We start from the raw sequence: 12,011 nt of genomic DNA, 5'->3' as shown, positions 1-12,011 counted from the left end.
TAGACTCCCAGAGACCTGGAGGATGCAGGTATCATGTGGTCATTGCCACAGAACCATGATGTGTTAGGAAGATGGCAGAAGACTGTGGAAGATGTGCATTTTTTTAAATAACAAGGACAGGAAACTCAGGGAATATCTGGATAAAGCAGGGATTGGCCTGGGATGTTCCAGATGAAGACAGGGCTGCAGGCTTGCCAAAGGACCCCCCCGTGGGGATGGTGGTCCTTTGGATCAAGTTGTGGTCCAGGTACAAGAGGCACATCATCAGGATTCTCCCCACAGTGGAGGCCTCCAGGAGGTTTGTGCCTATGGCTTGTTTTTCCACGTGGGTGTAGTGGGGGCTCTGATAGGTGCTCAGGGGACAAATGAAGTCCGGAAAGCAGCCCACGGTCTTGCTGAGACTTTGTGGCTGGGGAGGTCATCAGTTTCAGCAGGCCCTGCCAAGAGTCTATTCCTGCAGTGTCATAGACATTATTTCACCCATCCAATTATTATTATTGTGATTTTCTTGTGTATTTATCCATCCAATTACAACATCTTAACTTAATCTATGAGGACCCTGGCCCAGGGAGGTGGCTGACTTGTTCAAGTTTGCAGTGAACAGCAGAGCCAGCTCAGCCCCTCCTCCCTCCTCTAGGCCTTCCTGCACTGGACGCCAGCCTCCTCCCCGCCTGTCCACTCCTGCCTGTCCATCAGCGCCACTCTGTGAGTGTGACCCTCGAATCAGACACAGCATTCTAGTGTCTTTTTTTTTTTTTTTTTTCTGAGATGGAGTCTTGCTCTGTCACCCAGGCTGGAGTACAATGGCGCAATCTCGGCTCACTGCAATCTCCACCTCCTGGGTTCAAGCAATTCTCCTGTCTCAGCCTCCTGAGTTGCTGGGACTACAGGTGTGCACCACCATACCCGGCTAATTTTTGTATTTTTAGTAGAGATGAGGTTTCACCATATTGGTCAGGCTGGTCTCAAACTCCTGACCTCAGGTGATCCACCAGCCTCGGCCTCCCAGAGTACTGGGATTACAGGTGTGAGCCACTGTGCCTGGCCCCAGTTCTTATTTTCTAGGTTTAGTGATCTTGTCTCAGATGAAGAGGTAATTACATCTACACTGGAGGACACTGAAGACTTTCCTAGCTCTCAGATTCTATGCTTCATTGTGTAAGAATGTGTATAACCGGGTGGTAAGTAGCTGGGGTTGGAGACTAGCAATTGGAAATTGGATAATACCTTCTTTAGCTGTTTAGAGTTTTGCTGGAGCTGTTTCACTTTAGAAATTAGGGTTGATGTTTCTGTGGTTGGAATGGAAAGTATGTTTCTGTCTCTGTTGAAGAGGAGGCTCTCTTCATGTGCCATTTATCCTTTCTAACACCTGCCAGCTGAGCTGTAAAGGGAGCTCCACAGGGTTAGCTTTCCAAGGGTTGACAGATGTCAGTTTTCACATCATGCTGTTCATGAGACATTTCACAGCAGCAGGACTTTAAACAATGTTAAAAAATATTCTCCTTGGCATTATCCAGGGCTACAGATCACTTTCTTATTTTATCTCTGCAGACCAGAGAGAGGTTCTTCTTTTGACTTACATCACCATCTTAAAAAACAGCACTATTACCCAAAGGACAAATTAGCAGAGAAGAGGAATGAGTTGTGCACATTGGCACTGTGTCAACTTGGAACGAAGGGGAGCACGGATATTGTTCACAATATACCCCAAACCAAATCGTCATTAAAAACAAAAGCCATGGCCGGGCATGGTGGCTCACGCCTGTAATCCCAGCACTTTGGGAGGCCAAGGCAGGCAGATCACAAGGTCAGGAGATCGAGACCATCCTGGCTAACACGGTGAAACCCCGTCTCTACTAAAAAAAATACAAAAAATTAGATGGGTGTGGTGGCAGGTGCCTGTAGTCCCAGCTACTTGGGAGGCTGAGGCAGGAGAATGGTGTGAACCCGGGAGGTGGAGCTTGCAATGAGACCAGACGAGATCAAGCCGCTGCACTCCAGCCTAGGCCACAGAGCGAGACTCCTTCTCAAAAAAAAAGAAAAAAAAAAGCACCAAAAGAAAAAAAGCCATGTAATCAGTCAAATAAGATGTCATTACTTTGGGGATTTATATATATTTAATCCTAAGCTAACTAACGCAGAAACAGAAAAGTGCTGCATGTTCTAACTGGGTGCTCATGGACGTAAAGCTGTCAACAACAGATACTGGGGATTCCTACAGCAGGGAAGGAGGGAGGGGGAATGCATTGAAACACTAACTATTGGGTACTTTGCTCAGTACCTGGGTGACAGGATCTATACTCCCAAACTTCAGCATCATGCCATATACCCATGTAACAAACCTGCACATGTACCCCCAGAATCTAAAATAAATGTTGAAATTATGTAATAATAATCATTTAAATGTTAGCCCATGAGATGGTGAAATATTGTTACCAAGACAACTTTGACAAAGTGGGAGTGCACTGACCAGAAGCAGATCATGCGATGGTGAGGATATAGGCTGCCTCCCTTCCAATTTCAGAAGGAAACACGGACGTGGGACCAGCTGCACTCAGGCCAGCAGGGTACTTGTCCTTCTTACAACCACACATATTGTGAATTTGTATAGCAGTTAACATTGCTGAAGCCCTCTCAGGAATATATGTCATGGTCCTTTGAACTGATAGGCGTGGTGTTTAACCATGTCTGTAGCACCTATAAACTTGATACTTTAACATCTGCCTCTGTGATGATACCCGACGCCTTGTTCTGGACAGCCTGAGTCACCTTGTCTTGGCCTCCCGCCTCCCTCATCACCACCCTCCACATCAAGAGGAGTCCTTCTCCTGAAGTGTGCTTTTCAAAGGCAAACCACCTAATCCAGAGTCTGCACCCCCAACCACCTCCCTTATCTGGCTCTCACACTCTGAACCACCATCCCCCTGCCGTTATCACCATACCAGATACCAGATAGCCCCTGGAATTATTTAAACTAGCCCATCCTGAGCTTGTTTGCCCTACCTCCCGTTGCTTCCCTTGGAAACCATAATAAAGGCTCTTGCCCACAGTGACCTCTTCCACCGCCTTCTCAGCGACCCTGGGGAGTCCCCATGTGGCCCTGTGGTGTGATGCACGTTCCCTCTCTTGGGATCTGTGAGTTTAATGCACAATCTTTTCAATGGTAGTTGTCCCCTGATCTGTTGGCTTCACCACACCTGAAAAAAATAATGAAACCTATCAAAATACAGGCTATGAGGCAGAGGATCTGATGCCTGCAAGATGAGAGACCCTGACAGTTTTTTCTAGCTCCTAGCCCTAAGCTTCTCCCCTGCATGATATTCTAGTGAGATATGGGGTGGAATGACAGAAAGAAATCCAGCTTGGGTTGTATGTATGTACCTTTGACATTGCATGGGAGCTCTTTGCCTACCTGTCTTGCTTGGGCATTTCCAGTCCTTCCTCTGGGCATTCTCAATAGCAGTGGAATTTTTAATTGGGAAAATGGGGATTACTTCATTGGGAAATGAAGTAATATGACATATTATTTAAAAAAAAGCCACATTACTTCATTTCCCAATTATAAATAGACCCTTCACCATGGATCTGCCATTTGCAACTTCCATGACATTGCAAGTGTTTGAGTTCAAATTCATTTTCTGCAAACCACGACCATGTTTGTCTGTTGCACAGCTGTATTCCCAGGCTTAGCATATCTGGCGCAGTTAGTGCAGGCTAGATATCAGTTAACTGAATGAATAAATAAACCACCCAACTACTAAATCAGGTTGTCTCAAACTCATCCAAAAGTTTATATGGGTTGAGTGTAACAAACTTCATGGGTTTCTGTGGTAGGCTGAATAATCATTCCTCCTAAAAGATATCCACATTCAAATTCCTGGAATCTGTGTGTATTACCTTATATGGCAGAAAGGGTCTTTGCAGATGTGATTAAGAATCTTGAGATGGGGAGATTATCCTAGATTATTTGGGGGACCCTAAATCCAATCACAAGCATCTGTGAGAGATGCAGAGGGAGATGACATGCACGGAGGCAAAGGAGGCAGCGTGAGCAGGAGCCAGAGATTGGAGTGTTGTGTCCACCACTATGGAAGCTTGACAAGGAATTTTTCTGCAGAGCCCCCAGAGGGAGTATGGTCCTGATGACATCTGGGTTTTGGGTTTCTGGCCTCAAAAACTATGAGAATAAATGTCTGTTGTTTTAAGCTCCTACCTGTGTCATAATTTGTTATATGTGACTCAGGAAACTGAAAGTTTCCGAGGGAAATTGATGGGTATTTCTCTCTGGAGAATTCTAAAAAGAGAGACTCCCTGGTCATGTCCTGTAGTGGCCGGATAGTAGAAACTAGATTTGGTGGTCTGTTGGTGTTCCTTTCCAATAATTCTTCTTGGATTCTTTGAGAAGTGTGATGACTTGGCTTCATTTTCTGTCCTCATGTAAGTGACTTAGGTAAGGTTAGATGAGAAGAAGAGCACAGGTGTGTTTAGGTCGACCTACACCCCCCAGATAATTAGGATACTTCAACTCCTGTTGTTCTTAGTCCATTCTTGTACTTGCCAGTCCATGTTACTTAGAAAAAAGCGAAGGGAGTCTTTGAGGTTTATGTTCTACCATTACACAGGGATTGCATTTCTTTCTCTATCGAGTTAGGACTGGAAAAGATACTTCAAGAGAATTTTTGAATTCAATAGGATGACCTTTGAAGGTAAAGAATATGTAAAGTGGATTTCTAATGAAATCTTATTCAATCCCGGTGAAGATATTAACATTTTGTTTTGTGTAGTATTTTCCTGCTTTATTTTTTGTCAGTTAATTTATTAAGAGGCCACTGACACTTTTTTCATTTTATTTTTTTAAATCTACCCAAACAAGGTGATCAGAAGCTTCTAAAATCTTAATAAACACCTGATTCTTAAATGTGAAATGAACTTAGAGAAAGGATATAGCATACATCATCTAATTATTTAGGTATGAAATGTTAGAATTTTGGGGGTTAGAGTCTCAGATATGTCCAAATCATGTCCTGTCCTTTCTTGTCTCCTAGGTAACTGCTAGAGCACATTTGAGATTTTTTTTCCTGAAAAATAAATGTCTTATATAAGAAGCTGGCAGTTAAGAAGGCGGAACATATATGTTTTTTTTTTCCATTTTAAACAATACAATTTGGCCATAGATTATATAGAACATAAAAATTGACAGAGAAATATAGCTTCAAGAGATATAATGTCAGTATGCAATATTTTAGTGAAAGTTACTAACATCATTTTGATTCATTGCATTTCTCTTAATATAAAATTTTATAGAGCCTGCTTTTCCACAACATCCCTGTTAGCAGGGATCTGTGTTGGTCTCATTGTAGACTTTAGTCTATATTCAGTGTCCAGGCTCTGTCCAGTATTGCAAAGGCAACATATCTAGCAAGGGTTCATCATCCTCTACCTAGAGAAGCTCTCACAGAGGGCAGTGAGTTTTCTCCTGATAACAAAGGCCAAAATGCCTTTTCTCTCTTAATGTAAGATTCATCTTTAATCCTGCGGCATACAAGCCACTTTTGTGCCCAGTCAGCCAGTGTCTGAAATGTCTCCAATCTGAATCCAGTTTACTTTTTTTCTTCTAGTTGGCTCCAGTGGGAGTTTGCAATTTCACTTGCTTTTTGTTTTACCTTTCTGGAGTTCCCTAGGGAAGTTAGTCTATACTATACAAACTTTAGTAGATGGCCAATACATGCATGTATCTTCTCTACCAATAATATTGATTTCTTTAATAACATTCCTACCAGTGTTATTGGTAGAAACATTATTAGTGGAAAGAATGATATCAATTGAGAGTGGCTCCTAGGCTTCTGGCTAAGAAGCCTGGTGAGTGGTTTTAGTATTTATTGGGGAAGATGGTGATTTAGTGTTTTTTTTTTCAATGGATTTGATTTTCTAGAGCAGTTTTAGGTTCATAGCAATATTGAGCATAAGATATGGAATTTTCCCGTATATCTCTAGTTTCTGCACATGCCTCACCTTCCCTCAACATACCCCACCAGACTAGTGCATTTGTTACGATCCATGAACTTACACTGACACATCACCATCACCCAAGGTTTATGGTTTATGTTAGGGTTCAGTCTTGATTTTGTACATGCTATGGATTTGGTTATGTTTATAATAACATGTGTCCACCCTTGTAGTATCATGCAGAGTAGTTTCACTGCTCTTAAAATCCTCTGGGATCCATCTATTCATTCCATGATTTAGGTTTTGATGTCTTGAGTTTGCCCACAGAGGACAAATGAAGGCTTGCAAATGGGTAAGGGCATCTAGGTATACAGTGTAAAATAAGAAGAGAAGATTGCCTGTCACTGCATCTTGAGGAGCAACCACAGGCGGCAAAGAGATGGACCAAGAAAGAGGCATCTACAGCACAGTGAGAGTGGCAAAAAGATAAGTGAAGCAATTCTTTTATTCATTCATTCATTCAACATATATTTTTGAGTCCCTACTATGTGCTAGAGACTACTATGTGTTAAGAGCTGAGTATTTGGAGAGTGGCATCACAGAAGCACAAAATAAAGAGTGTTTTTAAAACTAGAAAATGGTCAAGTGATGTGTTTTGGACATGAGGTCATTGGTGACTTTAGAAAGAGAAGTTTCAGTGGAGTGGTGAGAGTGGGAGCCAGATGGCAGAGGCTTGAGGATGGAGAGAGAGGTAAGCAAGGGTGACAGTGAATGTGAAGAGTTGTCAGGTTCACGACTATGCCAAATGTCATGTTGAGGTCTGAAGGGAGTGGGTGGATGAGCAGAAAGAACTCAAGGGCCCGTAGACAGGTGAAAGATGATTTTATTCAGCAGCAACTGTCATCAACAGCTTTCTCACACTGTCTGCCCTGTCTTGGTTGCTTGAGCCAGTGGCTCCCACATACAGCTGCGCAGCTGGCTCTCCCCTGCTTTCAGGGTCAGCAGCTTAACTCTTTCTCTCCCTGGGCATGAGTGAGCTGAGCTATGTTCTGGCTGCCCTTGGTCCATCTGCAAAGATGGACAGCTCTGACTCACTCTCTCTTTCTCTGGGTGCCAGCACCTATAGAGTGTCAACAGGGCAATTATACCTTTCACAGACAGTAGTGGCTTAGAGCCAGGTGATGAGCCTTTCTTATGTTATGGCTATGGTGGTGAGCTTCTCTATGTTAAGTCTACATGGCTGTGATAACAAGTGGAGTTGTACACCTGCGCTCTAAATTCATTGAGTCACTCTGGATGTTTACCTCGGCCTACCCTTGACCAAAGCACAGCCTTGTTCCTTACACTCCACCCCCTGGGCTGAGGGAGACGTAGGGCTTGATACACAGGTTATATGCATAAACTTTGGGTACATAGACTCAATATACACAGGCATGGGCTTTATACATAAGTTTGGGGCACATAGGCTTGATAAACAGGTTTGGCACACAGGCCTTACATTCTATCCCCTAGGCTAAGGGAGTCCTTAGTGGGGACCCATGCACATAGGGCAGCACCTTGGACCCATAGGCCACAGCAACAATACAGGGAACAACAGACTACCACTAACGTTCCTGTTATGCTACCTGTGATTATTAGAGCCCAACATAGGCCAGAGCCTAGAGAAGCCCACCGTCTCTGCAGGGGGTCATCAGTAAGGCACTCAATCACCTTAATATCCTGTGACACCCCTTATAAGGCTGCTGTTATGTTCTGGTGGTTGTCAGGAATAAATGTACAACATTGCGTCTCTACAAGGGCACAGCTGCCACATTGGGCAGCTCTGACCATGTCTAAGGCCATCCGGTTTTGCAGAACCAACTTCCTGATCTGATTGACTTCATCAGTTAACAAAAAGGAGAGCAACTCGGGTGTAATTCAGGGCCCAAACTGTGTGCTCTGCAAGGGCTGTAACTTGCATTTCTACAGTAGCGACACCTGCTCTAGGGATAGTTATCGCTTAGGGGTAGAGTCACTAGGGGGCTTGCTGAACTCGTAAAAACCAGGAACATAGCACCTTCCAGTTAGGTGGATGACTAGGCAATGTGGGAAACACAGTGGCAGGCACAGAAAGCCACCCCCAGGTACAACGTCCAGTCCAATTGGCTGGTAGATATGGCCATCCTGTGTCCCCACAGACCCATAAACTCCCTGGGGGCATAAAGTCCATGAAGGTCCAGCCTTGGTAAGGCAACTTATTCCACCACACCCTTGGTTTCGCGGCATGTGTTATGTTTGCACAAACCTCAGCAATAATCCCTCAGTGACTTTACCCCAGTGCTCCCCTATACATCATGGTACCTGCAATGGGGGCACCACATGTTTTCCCGTTAGCCAGCCCCATCCATCATGGACACTATAAGTCAGCCAGTGGCAGGCTTGCCATGGGTTTTGGGACGTCCCCCTATCCAAAGCCCACCATTGCATTGTCTATTGAACACCAAGTCTCTAGCCATGTCCAGTTCTGCACAGAAGCTGGATGCACGTTCCAGGGCAAGCTGCCTGCAGCTGCTGCTGAAAGGGTGGTGCAGATACAACAGTTGAAGACATTGGTCACCTCAGTGTAGGTGTGGGCCCAGAACATGATGCTGTTGGAGCATGCCACCTATGGCTGGAATGACAAAGCAAGCACAGGTACTAACAGGGGTAAATCATGTCCCTCAGGCAAAATACAGGCCAACTTTTCACCTCTCGATAACAGTGCAGCCACCAAGGGCATTTGCCCTGGGTGATGATACCACACCTTATCAGCTCCCTGTGGTCCTTTTGGGTGCTGTACCCATGCCAAACACACAGGGGAGCTTATGCTAAGCCACACAGACAGTACACATGCCCTCTGGAGGAGAGTCTCTTCCCTGGCCGTTCCCCTATGCATGGTTAATTGTGGAGGCCACACATTAAATACCCAAGGAGTAACATGTAAGTTATACTGCAGCCCCTCCCCCCAGGGGGCTATGATAGCCAACCATCTGCAATGAGGTGCTTGGAGGGTCCATGGCTAACACCAGGTTTTTCTGTTCCCCTGCCTTTAGGGGTACTGGGGCAGGCAATAACAGATTACTGTTCAACCCTGTACCTGGTTGGAGAAGGTTGTTCTTCCTCTCATAGATCTGGCCACATGGCCTGGCCCTACATGGGTCGATGACTAACTAGCTAATTCTGTAACTTCTAGGTAATTAACCACAAAGTTAAGCCTTGATAAATTGCCTAGCTACTAGTACAGATTACCACAGGTGTCATCTCCTTGGTGATCACAGTCCATATTGCCTTGAGTTCAACTTATTAGCTACTTTATTTACACCTGGTTTTAAACCATATTGTGTCAGTACTAGGCTGGACTGTAGCAGCAATCCAGGCAGCAGCAGTACTCTGGCTATACCTACCTGTATACTATGCCTCATTAGGAATGGGAGGATGCCCTTCCTTATGGTAAAGGCTCAGGGTCTAGAGGTGCCTCAGACCCCATGACTTTATCTTGCATTAGGACTATAGGCTTCAAGACCTATTGTAATTTTACTCCTAAGAGACCAGTACTCAGTGTACTCTGCTGCTCTAAGTAGGTGCCCCACTTCGCTAAAGTGGATGTCTGTGCCTTCCCTATCCAGGGGGTTGTTTCCCATGAATGCCCAATCTCACAATTACTAACTGCTTCTCTATCAAGGAATACTGGGGCTCAGCTCCCTTCCACAGCTGGGAACAAAAGCCTATTGGCATACTCAGGTGCTCTATGCACTGCTATAGGCCCTAACTGAAACTCTGTTGTCACAGGCACATCTAGTTTAAATGGGCACCTCTGGTCCACTACCCGTATGGCTTGTGCCTGCTAAATAGCCCGCTAGGCTACCAGAAAGACTGTCTCAGGAGCATCATCCCAATCCCAGGCAAGAAGAACATTGCCACTTCTAAATCTGCAGGAGAATCAGAGGTTAACATGACATCATTAATAAAATAATGACACGTGGTGGGGCTATGAATATAGCCCTGCAGCAACACTGTGAAAGTCCATTGTCACCCTCCCATGAAAGCAAACTGTTCCTGCCTCTCTGGAACAATGTCGACTGAGAGGAATGCATTGGTCAATTCCACCACATAGTGGCATTGTCTCAGTTCTGTTGTCAAGAAGTTCATCAAATCCATGATAGAAGGTACAGATACATGCAGAAGGAGTATTACTTTATTCAGTTTCCGATAATCCACTGTTATCTGCCAAATCCCATCAGGCTTTCTGACTGGCCATAATGGAAAATGGTAGGGGCTATGGATGCCACACACTATTTGCACCTCCTCTAACTTCTTAATAGTCTCAGTTACCTCTGTATTCCCCCCTGGCAAACGGTACTGATGAGTGGAAGTAACCTGTCAGGGTTGTGGCAGAACTTGGGGCTGGTGATGTGTATGTTCACCCAGTACTGGCTTTACTGCATGGACTCAGAATCTGGATTCTCTGGCCGTGGTGTGCAAGCCCAGACCATGCAAAATGTCCACCCCCAGAATATATTCAGGTATAGGAGAAACATACACAGTGTACAGGTGGGGAGCCAAGCGGCCAATGCCAAGATGCAGAGACACAGGCTTCACCTTCACCGACTGGCTCCCATAACCGTCCATAAATGCAGCTTTGCCTAGAAATTTATCTGGGTTCCCATAAACTAGACTGCAGTCTGCACCAGTATCTATCAGTGCTAGGACCCGCGGTACATTAGTGGGGGACCAGTGGATTGCCAGCTCCACATATAGCCTCTGGTTGTCTAGTTCCCCCTGCCAAGCTGGCGACCTCGGCCAGTTCCCTAATCAAACAAGAAAGGCTCTGTATCTCTGCCTGTCTGCAAATAGTCCTTGAGTTGCAGCGTCTGGGAGGGATTAGGTTGAACAACATTGTTTTGCCCCCCACACCTTAGGCATTTTCTGGAATTGCTGCTCCCGGGACAATTGCCTTCACAGAGTCAACAACATTCCATTGGGTTGCCCGTCAATTTTCTCCCGAGCAACCCCAGCTGCAAGTAAATCAATCCACATCTGCATGCAGGTCACCTCCTGGAGCCCCTTTTTATCTGGTGGGGTGGTTAACTGCGGATGAGGCATTTTCTCCCTCCTTACGGTGCGGATTCTCCGGTCCTGCGAATGGCCTTCTGCCTCCCTGAGGGCTGCCAGAGCAGTAGTCACTTCATGTATGCGGCACCCCACATACTGGGTGAGAACAGCGGCTAGAAAGCCATAAGGGTTCGGGGTGCTGAACTCAGCACAAGATCCCTCATGTGGGAGGTAAAGCGTTCATCATCTGGCCCCATGGTAATCAGACCAAACATAGCCTGCCGCATACCTATCTCCAAGAGTATCTGCACCAAATTAGTATGTGATTGCCATTTACTCACAGTTTGTAGTATCTCTCTGGCATCATTGAAAACAGTCCATATGACTGTCATTAGCCACTTGATTAATGTGTGGCCACCTTGCTCTTGTGCCAACCGTTGGCACAGCTGCAGCTGCTGACGAAGGGAGGGGTGAGTTGTGATAGAAGTCAGCTTCTCCATCTCAGAGGCGGAACAAAAAATGCTATCAGCTCCCTCAGACGCTGCCGGCACTATTTACCTAATTCCCACAACTCACTGGGGTTATAAGCATAATAAGAGGCGTGTTCCACCACTGTGGACGGGGTCCCTGGGCTTTCCCCTAGGGTCCCATCAGCTGCTTATGTTCTACCTTCTGACGGATCACAGGAGGAGCCTGCAGCGGAGGAGCCTCCTCCTCCTCAGCATCAGACCTAAAGGGAGTGTCCTGCCTGAAGGACCGGCTCAAGGTCGCACTAACAGCTCTTGCTAACTCCTGTTCCAGGCTGTTTATCTGGGCCTCCAAGTACCCTGCTTGCGCCTGGAGGTCTCTCACCCCCAGGTCCTGCTCAAAGCTGTGCACTTGGGCCCCCAGGCATGCGGCTTGCTCCGGAAGGTCCCTTACCTGTGGCACTGAGCATGTACTTCCTGCAGTGCAGTTAGAAATGCCCATCCGACTCTGCTTGCAAAGGTACGTTC

At 45.8% G+C, this 12,011-nt stretch overlaps 1 long non-coding RNA gene across 1 annotated transcript in view; it reads right to left on the bottom strand.

Moving 5' to 3' along the window:
• LOC124901947 (uncharacterized) overlaps positions 1–11,502 on the bottom strand; it is a 42,576-nt gene extending 31,074 nt beyond the window's left edge. Inside the window, exon 1 of the long non-coding RNA XR_007060913.1 lies at positions 11,358–11,502. This is a non-coding gene — a long non-coding RNA (uncharacterized LOC124901947). The remainder of the gene's footprint in view (positions 1–11,357) is intronic.
• Between the last annotated feature and the right edge of the window lie 509 nt (positions 11,503–12,011).

The sequence above is a fragment of the Homo sapiens genome, chromosome 8 (assembly GCF_000001405.40).
Source record: "Homo sapiens chromosome 8, GRCh38.p14 Primary Assembly".
Classification (NCBI taxonomy): Eukaryota; Metazoa; Chordata; class Mammalia; order Primates; family Hominidae; genus Homo; species Homo sapiens.
The sequence above is the reverse complement of the archived record's forward strand: the minus strand, read 5'-3'. Positions and strand labels throughout refer to the sequence as shown.